The sequence below is a fragment of the Homo sapiens genome, chromosome 2 (assembly GCF_000001405.40).
Source record: "Homo sapiens chromosome 2, GRCh38.p14 Primary Assembly".
Lineage (NCBI taxonomy): Eukaryota > Metazoa > Chordata > Mammalia > Primates > Hominidae > Homo > Homo sapiens.
In genome coordinates, this window is record NC_000002.12 from 45,159,285 (window position 1) to 45,175,875 (window position 16,591).

Sequence of the window (16,591 nt, forward strand, 5' to 3'; positions counted from 1 at the left end):
TGGGTTCAAGAGATTCTCCCTCCTCAGCCTCCTAAGCAGCTGGGATTATAAGTGCACACCACCATAACCAGCTAATTTTTGTATTTTCAGTAGAGACAGGGGTTTCACCATGTTGGCCAGGCTGGTCTTGAACTCCTGACCTCAGGTGGTCTACCCGCCTCAGCCTCCCAAAGTGCTGGGATTACAAGCGTGAGCCGCCGCACTTGGCCACAGTTCTTTCTTAAGACAACTTTTGCTTCCTCTCTCTTGGACGTCAGCAGCCGAGTAAGAAGTCTGACCACCCTAATAGAGCCACCACGTGGGGAGAAAGCCCGACAGAAGGAAGGGCCACATGAAGAAGCACCAAGGCACCAGACATTGAAAGAAGCCTGCCTTGGCCTTCCAGCCCAGCCCATCTAGCAGCTGACTGTAGTCAAGGAGTGACCCCACTTATATTTAATACTAAGTGGAGCAGAACCACCTGACTGAACCCTGACACACCACTGCAGAATCATGAGAGATAACGAATCGTTGTCTTAAGCCCTTGTGTGTTGGGGGGCATTGCTTATGCCACAACAGAAAACTGCAACAGGAGGACAGGGGCTGGGTATGAAGAGGGAAAGGTGGCAGAGCCGTGGCACTCATAAAGCTCAGGGTCTGGTAGATAGCAGCCTTCCCCTCCAACTTCTGGCACAGAGAACATAGACTCAACACCCTTTTACGAAGGTATGTCTGGATTTAAAATTATATCTTTAAAGAAAATCTTATAAGCAATTGTCAAGTTGGAAGAATGTTAGGTAACAGATAATAGAGCTGCCAGGATAGACATGTCCAAGTTCAACTTCACTAAATGATCATACCCATCCTAGTGGTAATTGTACCCACTATGGTTCCTCTTGAATATTTTTACTTTGCAGGCCACTTTCATGGGGCCAACTAATTCCTGCTGCCAGGCCTTTGCTCCTGTTTCCCCCACTCTCTAGACTGTCTTTTCTTTTTTTCTCTTTCAATCTAATTCTACCCTTCTTCAAGATTCTGCTTGGCCCATGGTCTCCATCGCAGGGCTTTTCTAACTCCAGCTTGCACTGGTTACACCAACCCCTGAAGGTCCACATCCTCAGCATATGTGGTATGTGGCATACAATTTGCCACTGAGAATTCAAGCATCAGTGTCACAGATGGTTAGATGTGACCGGACTTCAGAGATGGTGTCTAAGACAGGAAACTGGAGCTTAGGGAAAGTGACTTGTCTAGGCAAGTCACTAACTACTTGACAACTAACTACTTGTCTTGTAGTTAGTTAGTGGAATACAGAACATCAACACCGCAACTCTATAGTTTTGGTAATCCAAATTTACCAAGTACCTGAATCAAAAATAGAATCAGGACAGGGCCCATTGGGAACCAGCAATTGCAAAATGGGCTTATACCTGCTGTAAAACAAAGAGAAGACACTCAGAGGGGGCAGTTACAAAGTTGACTTCTATCAGACTATATGTTTGGCAAGGGAAGATACTCAAAACAAGCATTATCTGGGGGAAAAGATTAAGATCAAAACCATAACAACATATCTGTTGGCCAGGTGCGGTAGCTCACACCTGTAATCCCAGCACTTTGGGAGGCCAAGGAGGGAGGATCACAGGAGTTCGAGACCGGCCTGGCCAACACAGTGAAAACCCATCTCTACTAAAAATACAAAAATTAGCCAGGCATGGTGGAGCATGCTAGTAATCCCAGCTACTTGGGAGGCTGAGGCAGGAAAATTGCTTGAACTCAGGAGGTGGAGGTTGCAGTGAGCCAAGATCGTGCCACTGAACTCCAACCTGGGCAACAGAGCAAGACTGCATCTCAAAATAAATAAATAAATACATCTGTTTGGCCAGAGCCTATGTTTTGAATAGTTCTGCTGCAATGAACAAAGTCTCTGCATCACAAGGTGCCCAGCCTGTGTGACACTGCCCTTGAGCCGCAGCATTTTGGAGAGTATACTCCACTCCCTTATCCCCTGTCCTGAATTAAGACCATCCACCTGTATTTGCAACATTAGCTCAGCTGAAAAGGTAATTATGGCTCATCAGGATAGTTGAGTAGAAATCATACGCAACTCGACAAAAAAAGACCTGAATAAAAACAAAGAAAAAGAATCACATTTAAGTGTGTGGTGTTAGCCCTTTTGTAACAGACTGTGTAAGTAAACTGATGAGTTTTGCAATCATCAAATTACTGTCGATTTATTTGTTAAGGCATTTAAAACAATTAGGGGAATTTGATATATTAGAATTGTGAAGACTTGAATTGCTTATGTGTGCACGAAATGTTTACTTGTTAGGGAGAATGTAGTTAAGTTGATGTTTTTGAGTAATTAATTACTCAGTAGTGTGTGAATATTTTCAAAATCTTGATTGCTTAAAGATTAGGAAATTGCACATCAAAGTAGGTAGGAGTTGTTGTGAACACTTCTTTCCATCTCCCAAAGTTGCTGGGACATAACAAGCTTTGGCTTCTCCCAGGGGAGTTCCCCACTTCAGGGCTGGTCACCCTAACACCTCCCTTGATCACATTCATTTTCCATTGTGGGAGCAGAGATTCAGCATCCTCTCTTTTTTATCCTTCACTTCTAAGAGCAAACCCAAGTTATCTTTACATTTTAAATTAATTGCATTTAACATAATTGAATGAGACTTTTAATCCAATGATAGCAAGAGGCCAGGTTCTATAAAGAACTGAATTAAGTGCAGCTCTTGTCAAGAAACATCCTTGAGGACATGACACAAAAGGGAAGGTGTTTCCATTGCCAGAGAAGGGAGAGTCTCAACACACTCACCTGGAAAGTACTGTGCTTTTGGATGGTGCTGGTGGGCAGGTGTCCCAGGAGAGATTCTGAGGGAGGTGGTTACCACAGGCTCCAGAACTGTTTTAATAGATCATTATAAGGAGGAAGTCAGGACGAACCAAGGGACGCCAGGAGTCATGGCTCCAGCCTATCCTTCCTCACTCCCTGAAGCCCCCCACCCCTTCACTCAGGACCAGACAAGTATACCTTTCCTCAGGTATGAAGAAAGCCTGAGAAGGGAGACAGAGCAAGGCCAAGGGTACAGTGAGCTTGGTTGGAGGAGAAAGCCTGAGGGAGAAACTTGGGAAAGGCTGGTTTTGAAAGAAGAGCTCCCAGGATGGCCAAGGCTTACAACCCTAAAGGTGACAACTAGGATTTTATTCGGAAGCCAGTTGGTTACAGAGGCTGGTGATGCAGGAAGGTGCATATCGCCAAGAGAGAAGGAAAGAGGAGTAGCTTGGACCATGGGGAGAAAGCTGCTGAGTCGGGGTGAGGGGGATGCACATTATCTTGAAGAGCAAAAGGCAGCCCCAGAAGACGTGGGGAAGAAAAGAGCCCCAGGAGAAGGCCGCATCCAAGGGGTAAGAAGGGAGAATCCTGGAGAAAAGTCATGGGGTCCTTTGGCCATCAGGCAGTTCAGAAGCAGGGATGACTAAGAGACTGTGGGACTAGATTGAGGTGAAAATCTGATGTGAGAAAAAGCATTTGAGTTGCATAAATAAGGCCAGTGAAAACTGCAAGAAATCACGTTTTCCAGAATAGTGACATTTGGGACCAAATGTCAGCCTTGGTGCCAAGAAGGGTTTCTACATCCATTGCAAGACCTTTGAAAGTTAATCCTATTGTGGTGGGGAAAGCTGTCCCTTTATTTGTACAGTCTGTTATTTTGCCCTTTGGGGAAAACACAGTGATGTGAATCACACTGTGACTTCCATCTCTGGTGAAGAAGGTTGTGTTTGGGGGAGCTGGTAGACATGAAAGCCATGAACATTCAAAAAACAGCTTATGGAAGCATTTCAGAACAAATTCATTTTCATCCAAATAAAATCAGCAGATATTGACCACAGCAGGACTGGCTGATGTGGGACGGATGGGCAACGGCAGAAATATGAACACTGATCATCACTGACTGCACCGAGCACCACGTACACGCTCGGTGTTGCTTTAAGCACTCTGCATACACTGTGTCACTTAATCCTCCTGACAGTCTGTTTTGTGAGACAGTTCTATCACTCACGAGTGAGGGACCTAGGGTGCAGAGTGGTGTGGTAACTTGCCCTACAGCCCAGCACTGTTGGGGGTGTAATGCAGGTTGGTCTGAACCCCAATACGCAGCTGAGGATGGGGTGATGGGGAAGCAATAGTGACAGGCAGCACTGAGATCTGAGAGGGGACCACATACAGAGACGGCTTAAACCAAGAGCCAGTGTTGTCTTAAACTGAAAACAAGTTTTGATGTGTTTCACATGGGGAAGGATGGACAATCTGCATGTTTGTAGCTGTACCACTTATTGGCTGCCTGAGACTTCTTGCTTTCCTGTCTGTATATTTTCAGGTATTCATGTTTTGTTCCCTCAACTAGACCAACAGCTCCTGAAGGCCGGGTCTGTGCTGTGGGTCTCTTGCCTCCTGCTCGGTACCTATGACTAAGCTCAAAAAACCCTTCAGTGGAAATGGAGCTGATTAATTTTTTCAGTCTCTTGTTCTACCCTCTTTGTAAATAAAGGACGGTCAAACCCCAAACGTTAAAAAAATGTGGCAAGCAAATTTTGTAAACAATGCGATTGGGGATTTTCTAAATGCTCTACCAATCGAATGAATTTAATGATGCCCCAAATTTTAATGAAACTTTTTTCATGCTGTCATAGGGCTGATGTTTAATTTAAAAGGTTACACTAGACTTTTTTTGTATTTGTCATTCTCTTTTGTATTTGTCATTCTACTGAAGTGTTTAAAAATTTATATTCTGCCTATAAAAATACAATCCTGGGGCTATCTGACTATCCTAAGAGTTATTTTTTGCTTTAAAGACAAAAAGGTTCTAGAGTTATCCTTTAGAATTTCTGTTGGAATAACATGTTGACCATAAAATGCTGAAAATATGGTCAAAAAAGAGAGAGAGAAAAGAACACACATACAGGATAATGCTAATCCCTCCCTGATGTGCACCTGGGAGCAGAGAACTGCCCCTACCAGGTCTGGAATGGTTGAAACACTGACAACATGTTGACAACTTTCTGATCAGATTCCATTTGGTACTCTTTCCCAGTCCCGAAATGGATCAAGGACAGCAAGTCGTCCTAGCTTTAGCAATAACTAGACAGAATATCTTTCTGGTTAATGGAAATTCTTCCCCCAGTGTGATGCCAGCTTGGGAGACGCAGAGCTGCAAATGCCCCTCCGCTCATTAGAGCAGGAGTTAGTCTCGGCATTGTACAGTCTCTGAGGGGGATTAAAAAAAAAAAAAAGGGTTTCCTGAGGGAGGCCTGGGCAGTAGTGGTCAATCAACTATTGTCGTAGCTGACTTCAGGGAAGTCCAGTATCAAGAAGGCCTCCGTTTTGTGCAAACTGATCAAATGCAGATGTTTCCAGGGAGTTGACCTTATTGACCGAGACTTCACTGGAGATTGAATGGCGGACAGCCGGTCAAGAGTGGGGTGAAGGCATGTTTTGGTGGGAGAGTGTAAATGTATACATACAGTAGACAGGATGTGGATGATGCTGGGCAAACATCTGTTTTATTGATAAATACATGCTTTACTTCCAAAAGTTTGATACCAGAGAGATGTAGTGAAAAATAAATTTAGTTTCAGGCTTTGTTAGGTGTCTCATGTGCACGTCAAACGCTGAAAGAGATGAAGGGCAAACAAATATTAAAAATGGGTTCAACCTTCCATCTCCCTGAAATATCAGATTTCATATAAAACTCATCAGCTGAACTAAGTATTAGGCTTGATCAATGGCAGGAAACTAGGGGATCAAATGCTAATAAATCAGAAACAGATATCCCCTCTCAAGAAGAAAATATATCACAAAACTGAAAATGAGAAAATCATCTGATGATTTTTTAATGCACATGCATGGAGAAAATAAGCTTTTTTTGTTTTTGATTTTTAGGATCAGGGAGTGCTGCATCTTAAACACAGACAAAGAATAAGATTCTTAAACACCTTAATCAGACTTTGACTTTAACACATGCAAAAGAAACAAGAAAGATCCCTATATTTGGTGAGGAATGAATACTGAGTAGTATTCTGTTTGTGGGTGGGTAGATATTAAAGTGGCAAAGTGAACACATTCAAACCTTGCTAATAATATTTTGCCAGATGTTTTCATGCGTTTCTTTTTCTCTTTAGGAATTATATCCTCAGCCCTCAGCTCCAACCTCTCTGCCTTTTAAAAATATATTGGCTCACAATTCCATGCCTTTACTTCTTAGTATTTTTTCCCTTATTCATTTTCATTTTGTAAAGTACGCGTTTTATTCAAATAAAACATATATACAGAAAAAATGCATGTCTTAAGTTCACAAATGTGTAAGCTCAATGAGTTTTCATAAGGCAAACACACCTATGTAACAGAACATTATCAGTGCCCCAGAAACTTGTCACTGACTACTCCTCTGAGGGTAACCACTACCCTCACTATAGTGGGGCTAGCGTAACACTAGGGATTAGTGCCTGTTTTTGAGCTTTATATAAATGGAAGCATAAAGTACATATTCTTGCGTGTGGCTTCTTTTGCTCAGTATTATGTGTATGCGATTCATCCATGGTGGTTAGTTCTGTATTTATTGATATTTAAATGGTATTCTTTTTAATAATACAGATATATTCATTTCTTTAATGCAGTCTTGTAGGTATAGAAACATGTCGATTTATTTCAGCATATTCACCAGTCTCGGCACTCAGAAGAGAGTTCAACAAAGTAAGCAACCACCAGCAGAAATCACAAAGAAACCACTGAGCTGTGACAAAATTCTCAAACTGACACGTCTGTAATCAAAGGCGCGTTATCAAGAACACCTTTGAAACCTTCATATTTGGTTTCCAAGACTTTTTCTCAAAAACACACATGCAAATAACTTTTTTTTTCTTTGACTCACCTTAAACAAGAACCCAGAGTGTGGTCCTGCTCTCTGAATGGAGACTGTTTGCTTCTGTGAAAACAGAGAGCTAAATTAAATTAGAAAATCCTGGTATTCAGTAGGACTGAATTTCCCTTCCTTCCTACTTTCCCATTCCACAATCTATCACCTAGAGTAATTAAGAACAGGGAGGTATCATCTTCACTGGATTAACCTTAACTAAATTGTGCTCATTCAACATGTGCCCTTTTGATTAGTCCGAGCAGGGCCTGCTGTCTCGGATACACCCACCTTGTAATTCTACACACTTAATTAATTTCAGATGAATAGAGAGGGGGGATAAGCTAAATTCTCCAATTAATAAACTATAAGTCCTTATAAGTGTCAGAGTAGCTCAAGATTTTCATTCTTCCTTTATTTCTTTACTCTGCAAAGGCTAAATGGAGATTGAAATGGAAAAAAAAAAAAACACAACACATACACACAGCTGCAATTGTTTGAGGCTGGTGAGGGGGTGCCTGGGCAGTTTCATCATCGTAAAGGGCAGACCTTAAGAACTGTTGGTAAAATAGATTATTTTTCTGCCAAGCATAATTTTTAATGTCCTTCTCCACCTGGACCTCGATATTTACTTTTTATTTGCACATATTTCCTGTTCTATGCACAGATTCTTGGTTATGAAAATTCAATATTAATGCCACTAATTTTATATTTTTAAATGCATTTCTCAGAAGTAAAATATTATTAATAGTCTGAGAACTTTTCTGAGAAGTGGTTTGGAGTTATTTGTTTAATCATCAAATTTAACAGCTCTCAATAATATAATAAAAATTTGCCCTCATGGGCATCCCTGACAGCAAAGAAAATAATTTCCTTATAATAAAACTGATCCCAAGGATGTTTATATGCTATAATTTATCTCATACTAAAAGATGGCTAGAAAATTATATAAGATAGATTTACAGTCGCTCCTTCAACTCAGAAAATTTATATGTCTAGTTTTTAGTGACTTAAAAACTTCTACTTATCTGCATAATTATATATAAAGAGATTCCCCAGTAGCTTTTATGTCCTATGATTCAACATAATGAGATCAATTATATTCAGGGAATTTAAATTACTGGTACTTAGGGAATAAAACCAACATCACTTTTAGTTTCTTATGATGGTATACAAGAAATTCTACTTACCTAAGACAAAATAACCATCTTAATGCAGCCCATTTTATGTGTTTTAGCAGAGATTTTAAAAGGCCACTAAGAGTTTTTGTCATTTAAGAAACCGTATACTCAGTTCCTTAATGTCTTCAGATGTTAATTTAAGTCTGTTCTGATCTTGTTTCCTACAGTTAGTCTTTTGTTCCAAAATGATTTTTTTAAAAAATGCTTGAGTAATTTTGTTAGTATTTGCCACTAGTCTAGAAAAATTAACTGAAATTCTTGCACTCCATTTTTAACCACTCCAATTCCCTATTAAATACACCTACAAATTAAATAAGGATACTGCTGCTCGATAATTTACCATTAAATGAGTGTAGAATATTTGACTGATTATTTTACTAATTTCTTATATGTGAAAATTCTTAAAATGGTGGAATCATTTGACTAATTGAATGCAAATATTAAATAATTTTTTTATTGATGACATGCATGCTGATAGGCACATCATTTGATGCATCAGCTAATGCCTTGTCAGGTTTGTATTCTCTTTTTTATCTGAGGCTGGGCACATGGGCATTTTAACTCAGGAAGTCTTACTTTCTCTGCCTTCCCTAAAATCAGTGCCTACATTTGACCCTGTGGAAAAACACAAAAGCGAGTAATTTAAATCAGCCCACACCTGCACCATCAGCCAGGCTATCCTTACAGAAACGCTTCGAACATCTTATTCCGGAGCACCTCAAGCGGCTGAAAAGAACAATTTATTCCCCGCTAAAGAACAAAATACTGACATTGAGTTTGTCTTCTTTGGGGTTGGAGGAAAGTTGAGATACTACTCATGAAAAGGCAGCTATGTTTGGCCCTGTGGTGATTTAGATTTACTATACAAACCAACAACTATTTTTGAATGATGGAATTAAGTATTTACACAAGGAGACTTAGCTCTTTAGCTTGGTTATGTCCTGCTGTTTATGTTACATGATCAGAAATCTTGTGAGTGCTGTTTTAGGTGATACATCACCAAGAATTCTTACATTAGGAAAGTAACCATATTATCTGAGATCGTTTGCTGTAGGGAAACCTGCAGCAAATTTTGCACTAGCTAAATTTGTTTAGCTAAATTTTGCACTTTACAAAATAATAGAAAAATTCATTCGACTCTCCCCTCAATGTATAGCATGGTCGTCTCATCACCTTGCAGTTTGTCTCATATGCTTGTGTTGAGCTCTTTTAACAGGACTTCCACCAATAAATTCAAGTTTTTATTCTTGTTTATAACCGGCATTTCCAGGTCCGGCCAGGTCCAAAAAAAAAAAAAAGGAATTGAGGGTTTGCATCGTTTTTCAATATAACTGGAAGCTGTTTTATCACTTTGTATTTTGAGAACCGCTCCCTTTCCCGCACACGCATTGCTGCCTCCTCTCGGGCTTGGTTAATGAGTCTGTGCGCCAAGCCAGGTCGCTCCGGGCAGTTCGCGCTTCCGCGCCTCGGCACTCGGATGACCGTGTCCTATTCGTCTCTCTCGTGAATGTCGCTGAAAAAAAATAAAAGTTTGTTCTAAGCCCGTGGCATTTCCGCGCGCAGATGGAAAGGCAAGTGGGAGAGGAGGGTGCAGGTGCGGGGCGGGCGCGGCGGCCCCTTCAGGCGCCGGGGGCTGGGCTGCCCCCGGCCGGGAGCAGCTCCGCTCCGCGCACGTGGCTGTGGGCGCTGCGGACGGGGGACGGCAGGCGGGGGACGGCAGGCGGGGAGTGGAGGGTGCAGTGCCCGCAGGTGCCGACGGCTTCCTCCCAGAGCCCTTCGCGCCGCGCCTTGCCTGGCTGGTGGCGCGGGGAAACCATGGCAGCATTGCGGCTCCGGCGGGCGGGCTCTGCGCGGGGCCCCACCGAGCTTTCCGGGAGCCTCTCCCGCAGCCGATGGGCATCTAGGGGCGCAGAACGAAGAGTGGGCGCCGAAACGGGTGTAGGCGCTGGAGGCCGACGGGGAGGCCCGGGGCGGTCAGGCTTCTCGGTAGAGAGGGCCGTGCACCTCGCGGCCTGCGGGCTAAGGCGGGGAGCCGCTCCTGCGGCGGCCGGGCGCGCGGACTGGAGGGAGGGAAGCGCCACGGACTGGGGAACCGGGGTGACGGGGAGACGGGGGGGCTGGTGGGGTGAGGTCGGCGGGCAGCAGCCAAGTGTTCTGCAGCTCCGAACCCCGCCACCCTCTGGGCGAACGGAATGGCACCCGCGGAGACGGGCGGGGACGGGCGAAAGCGGGTTTGCTCCGACCCGAAGCTGAGCCCGGGTTGGAGGGCGAGACCGTAGGCGAGAATGGCCGCGCGGGCTGGGAGACCCGGGCCGGTATGGAGTGAGTGGAGCCGCCCGAGGTAGGGTAGTTGGGGATGGTAGTTGTGAAGACAGTCGGAGTCTAGCTCCGGGCAGACGAAACACCGGGGCGCGCCAGGGTCCGTTTCCTCCTTCTCTCTGCTTTCCCACCAGCCCTGTAGATACGGAGCCAGCAGTCGGGCTAGAGCGGAGGCTGAGGGTCGCGGTTCCAAGGGCGGTCTCTCGCCCCGGGTCAGGCCCCACCCCGCGGTGGCGGTCGCGTGGCGCTGTCCTGGAGTTGAGCTGTCCCCGCGCCGCGGCCCGCACGCCCAGGACCGCACACCGCCGCCCGCAGGCAGAGACGCCTGCAACCTCGCCCTCTCGCCCGGCTCCCAGCTCGGGGCTGGGAACCGGAAAGGTGCATTTCCGTGTGGGGTGGGGGCGATTCCCGGCTGTCGGCGGTGGGGCTAGGCCTTGCGGCGGATGAGCCAGACCTTCCCGGCTTTCCAGCCAGCCGGGTTCGGGATTTCCCGACGGTCGGACGGGTGGAGGCGAGGATGGGCCGCTATCCCCCAGCCTCTTCAGGAAGAAGCCGTAGGGCCAAGGAAGGGATGGGTGACGGGGCTCACACCATTCCAGCGCTGCCCTCGAACTCGCGGGCCTCCGTTCCCTTTGCAGTCACTTGGTGTGCGCCCCAGTCCCGGGCAACATTACTGCCCGCGGGCGCCTTGTGTGCATGGCTGCTGCCTGCGGCGCACCGGCCTGAGCCTGGAGGGAGGTGCGGGGCGGGAGAGGCGGCCCTCCCTGGGTCTCCCCTGCCTGTCACATCTGCACTTATTTAAAGCTCGGCTGGTGGTCCGCGCTCTCTGGAATGCCAGTTGCGGGCCTGGCCTCCTACGGCATTTGCACTGATTAGCTAGCGGGTCATGGGGGAGATGAGGGGCTTAGGGGGGCAGACCGGAGGTTCACAGTATTCCGCCTGCCTCTGTCCCGCGTGCTAATCGGAGCCCAGTGATTCCCGCTGCACCAATGGCTGAGTGTGTTAGGGAGCAGAAAACCGAACTTGAAGGATGTTGGATGCGTCTGGGAACCGGCCATTGCCACTTAGTAGTATGTTGTGGGCCGGCGCGCACACATGACCCTAAATCTCTGCAGGCTCTAGCGCTGAAGCGGGCGGAGAAGGGGAACAAGTGCTGTGACCCCAAGTCCTAAAAGTTTGTACGCAGTGTCTGGGATATGCAGTATCCTTGATGCGAAACTCTTAAATGTTTGCTGGTGCAAGTCCATACAAAACGAGGTTGGCCTGCCTCGCTTAAAATACCGTACACAAAGCGTAAAAAAGGCACGGGCAATCCGCATCGAGGACGCCACCCCAAGCGCAAGAGGCCCGGTGCAAATTCATCGCTGAAAAACAAGCTGGGTTCTAATTTACTGTGACTCCCACGGGCGCAGGGGTTGGGAGGAGAAGCAAAGGGGGACATTTTTTTATTTTTGAAGCCTCAAAAAGTTCGATCTGATTTTGCATTTGCCTTTGGACTTGGTATAATTAAGGGTGAAAATAAGGCCCCTCTGTATTTCTATTCCCCTTTGCTTTTCTGCGGAGCTTTTACCTCAGAGGAAAGTTGTTTTAGTAATCTGGGAAAGAGAAACCATGTGCTGAGTCAGCAAAAACGCGGCACCAGGCCAGTTCAGCTCAATTATACTGCTGTGTGTAATGTACACACTCTATATGCCTTTGTGGAAATAATGAAAAATATATTAGAATTCTCATGGCATAGCAATGCCCACGAAGCCTGTTGGCAGTTGAGAGCCAGATTTCCGTGTCTTCTAATACAAGGAAACAGGTTCTGAACATGTCTTCTAACAAGCCTTAGATCCAAGGCCACTTAATGTGAGAGGACAAGAAAAATGCAGTTCTCAAAACAACACAAAATATTTTACTTTTTTTTCAAATGGTCGTGTTACAGAATGCTTAAATACTCCTTTCTGCTTGTGTTCTTCTGACAAGTGTTCAAGGTGGCTCCAACAGATGGAATCTTAATTTTTATTTTGCATCATTAAATGCATTTCTCAAAACTGATTCTTGAAAAGGTCTGAAAAGTCTCCTTGCAAGTCCCGTTAGAACCTTGACCATGCATTCTCATTTGTGTGGAAGGAATAAATGTTTTCAGAGTCACTTGGAATGAAACTCTCTTAAACTACTAAGCAATTATTTTTCGGAATAATTGCTTTTAACTGTCCAAGTGTTACCTGAATTTGCAGTATGTGAACATTTCAGCTGTTAAGCAACAGTCTAAATTGTGCTTTTTAATGACACACATTCAGTATTTCTGGGGATATTTCTTCATAGTTATTTTAATTCTAAGAGTTTAGTTGCAGAAAGTGACTTTTGAAAAACAAAAATAGCATATTACATAAAGAACTAACCAGAAGTTTGCCTCAGTTTCATTTGTCTTTTCTACCTCAAAATGTGAAATTAGTACATCTTTTATGCTTTTACTATTTAAAGTCTTAAAAATATATAGTTGTGTTTCAGTATAATGCAGAAATATCTGGATGTGAAAAATTCAGTCTGTCACCCAACTTCCAGATGTTTGGTACTACGCAGACAAAACATCAGAATGAATGACCAAATTTTTTTCTCTACAATCCAGATGGCTTAGTGCCTCTTGCTTCTATAAGGAAGCATATTTTCCTTTCTCTAAACATCACATCCTACTGTAGCCCACATAAGGCATGATTTACACTCCTTCAGCTACAAAATGTTAGGCCATTTGGAGTGCAGCAAAGCAATCAGTTAATGAAACTATATGTTTTGGTGAATGTAGTCCAAGTCCAAGTGTTAGTGTGTACTTAGGAGGGAGTGGTGGTGGTGGAGTCAGAAATGGGAAGGTAGGAGAGTGAGCGCCTTGTTCAATGGGAGAATAACTTGGCTAAAAGGACACAGCCTTCCAAAAATCCATCTGTGCCATCCATAATCGTAATAGGTGAAGTGGAACATTTAGCAGCTTCAACAGGGCTGCCTTTTGCCTGAGATGCAGCTGGACTGTGAAATGTCCATCGTGTACTGTGAAGCTTTCTTTCCCTACTGTTCCTTCTTGGAGCATTATAAAATGGAACAGATGAATGTAATGTAACATTATAACATTAGGACTCATGAACATTATACAGGTGGAAAAATTCTCTGTTTTAAAAGTAAAAAGGCAAGTAAGTGATTTAAATATTCATATTGTTATATGGTGAATATTTAAGTCACTCAAAAATGTAGTGATGATGAATGGATTTCTCTTCCTATGACATGTCACCGCATTTTACAGTTGTTGAACTTGGGGCTGAAGACAGCAACATTTTTTCCTTCCCCAAAGTCAAAGAGATTTAAGATCATGAACAGAGAGCCAGAGTTTCTCTGCTTAAACATGTTGAGAAAGAAGGAATAGATATAAAGAGACTTCCACTAGAATCAGCAGATGAAATCAAACCCAGAATGAATTCCATTCTATTTATTAACCTCACACTCCCTGGATTATAGAACAGTGTTTAGATAATGAATGGCAATGAATGTTAAAACATCATAAAACCTGACCACTTAACAATCGCTGCAAGAAAAACATACCATTTTAAATAGACCTTCTTACAACTCAGAATCTGGGCCTTGGATAATAAGACAGGATTTTATACTGGCCCAAGGTCAATTTTAAAGAATAGTTTATGGGAATCTAGTAGAACCTTGGGGTACATATACTGAGTAAAGAGACTCAAAAGTCAAGTGGGAATCTTTAACACCATATAAAACAGAATCACAGTTACTTTTCTTGATTGGATGTTTTCACGACTTTTTTGGTAATTCATTTATTAGAATAATAAACTGACAGAGCTGGAATGGACTTAGAGCTCATCCAGGTCTCTGTCTTTATAGATGAGGAAATGGAACCAAAATGAAAGGACCTATCTAAGGCCACACAGTCATTACAAGAAGGGTCAGAACTAGAATCACAGAGTTCTAATTGTGAGTCACAGAGTCCAGCCCTGTCTCCAGGACAGCTTGCCTTTGAATCACTATGACGTGGCTCAGCGTTACAGATTTCCTAGTGGTGTCCAAGAAACTGACACCCATCACTGCAGGCTGGAAATGGCTCAACATCATTCATTTGTATTACACATCTAAGAGCTATAAAACAAACCCAGTGTGAAGGCAAAGTTTCCCCATTTGTCTCCAGAATAAGACAGACTATTGCAAAAACAGAGCTAATAAAACTCTGTCAACTTCAACAACTTGGTTAGAGGTCCTGATAACAAGTGACAGCCTTAGCTTTTTACAGACAACTTATAGTGCCTTGGAAGCATGTCATGTGCAGAATCCGCTACAGTGTCTTTGAAAATAGCACAGTCAAACATTCAAAATTTAAGTGACGTTAATGGGGAAGAGAGGAGGAGGTGGTGGTTATAGCCATGTCTACACTACTCTTTACAGAAGACATAGATGTCAGTGGTCCTTCACTCGTCTCAGAAAACAACTCACGACTACAGCAGCTTGCATGATGAAATGGAAGGTTAGGATGCAAGGGGAAGGTGGAGGGTGGAAGATGGGGTTGGTGGGTCATATTAGATAGCAATATGAAGCATACTGTTCCCCAGTTTTGAGGAACTGGGGATCTCACTAGTTCTCATGGTGTGAGCCAAGGAAATAGACTCTTATGTGATGTTATCAAAGCTTTTCTGTTTAATGTTTTATTCAACATCAAATGAGAACATAGAAGCATTGCTTCTAGGAAGGGAAGACAACCCCTGACTCCTACACGAGTATTCTGCTCCAGGAATTGCAAGGAAGTTTAAGGATTAGGAGAGATGGGGGTAGAAGGAATGGGTGAAGTCAGGACTCAGTATGGTTGGCCCTCTATATCTGTGGGTTCCGTATCTGTGGATTCAACCAACCTCGGATGGAAACTATTCAGAAAAAAAAAAAAAGGATGGTTTCATCTGTACTGAACGCATCATAGGCTTTTCTTTCTTGTCATTATTCTCTAAGAAATACAGTATAACAACTATTTACAAAGCATTTACATTGTATTAGGTATTATAAGTAATCTAGAGATGACAAAGTACACTACATAAGAGGATATGCATAGGTTATATGCAAATACCATATAATTTTATATAAGGGACTTGAACATCTGTGGATTTTGGTATTCTTGGGAGGTTCTGGAACCCATCCCCAGTGGATACCAAGGGACTGTGTATTTGGAGTTATGAGAAAAGAATGGTCATGTTTTGATTATCTTGTAGAGAAAGGAGTTCTTGGTAAGGCCTTCCCTCCAAGCTAATTCAAAGTTAGTGCTCCCTGAGAAGCAGGATCTGGCCAGAATTTGAGAGAGCGGGATGCTGGGAGAAGAGGTCTATATTTTTAAAAAATGCTTAGGGGAGCAACTAAACCAGCAAAAGTTAAACCAAATAAAACCATCATGCCCACTTACCTCTTTAATTTACTCTCCCAAACAGATCATCATTTGAGCTATTCCACTGAAGTCAAGCATGAAATCTATTTAGCTGGATAGCTACCCATTTCCTGTGACCTGCAAAAGAGATGCCCTATTCTTTCAGGATCCTTGGAATGCCACATGCCCAGGCCCACTGGAAAACTGGGAAGGAAAACTGGAGCCACATGCCTGGGCCCACTGAGATTCATCACCCTTCCCCTACAACCCTGTGTCAAGGAAACACAAAGATAGAGTGGATTTCAGCACCACCCAATGCAGACGCATGGCTGCTAGTTTATCAGCATAGGTCAATGAATGGTTTTAAGTTGCTATGGGTTTAAGAGGATCTCTTAGTTGATGGGAATTTTTGAATCTTTTTTTTGCGTGGGACCCTTTGGCAGTTTTGTAAAATGTACAGACTATTTCTCAGAATGTTTCTAAACGTGTAAGTTATATTGAAATTGGCCAGGCACGGTGGTTCATGCCTGTAATCCCAGCATTTTGGGAGACCGAGGTGGGCGGATCACTTGAGGTCAGGAGTTTGAGACCAACCTGGCCAACATGGTGAAACCCCGTCTCTACTAAAAAAAATACAAAAGTTAGCCAGGCGTGGTGGTGTGTGCCTGTAATCCCAGCTACTTGGGAGGCTGAGGCAAGGAGAATCGCATAAACCTGGGATGTGGAGGTTGCAGTGAGCCAAGATTGTGCCATTGCACTCCAGCCTGGGTGACAAAGCGAGACTCTGTCTCAGAAAAAAA

General features: G+C 43.7%; 1 long non-coding RNA gene across 1 annotated transcript in view, besides 2 other annotated features; it reads right to left on the reverse strand.

Moving 5' to 3' along the window:
- Positions 9,808-10,308: an enhancer, noted in NCBI's record as "H3K4me1 hESC enhancer chr2:45396231-45396731 (GRCh37/hg19 assembly coordinates)". NCBI's record gives its function as "activates a minimal SCP1, AML or CMV promoter by ChIP-STARR-seq in naive H9 embryonic stem cells {active_cell/tissue: H9 hESC(naive)}" and the evidence as "EXISTENCE:reporter gene assay evidence [ECO:0000049][PMID:30033119]".
- Positions 11,174-11,803: an enhancer, noted in NCBI's record as "H3K4me1 hESC enhancer chr2:45397597-45398226 (GRCh37/hg19 assembly coordinates)". NCBI's record gives its function as "activates a minimal SCP1, AML or CMV promoter by ChIP-STARR-seq in primed H9 embryonic stem cells {active_cell/tissue: H9 hESC(primed)}" and the evidence as "EXISTENCE:reporter gene assay evidence [ECO:0000049][PMID:30033119]".
- The window catches only part of LINC01121 (long intergenic non-protein coding RNA 1121), an 80,601-nt gene continuing 79,066 nt past the window's right edge, over positions 15,057-16,591 (reverse strand). The window contains exons 5-6 of the long non-coding RNA NR_033831.1: positions 15,831-15,929; positions 15,057-15,303 (exon numbers count right to left, since the gene is read on the reverse strand). This is a non-coding gene — a long non-coding RNA (long intergenic non-protein coding RNA 1121). The remainder of the gene's footprint in view (positions 15,304-15,830; positions 15,930-16,591) is intronic.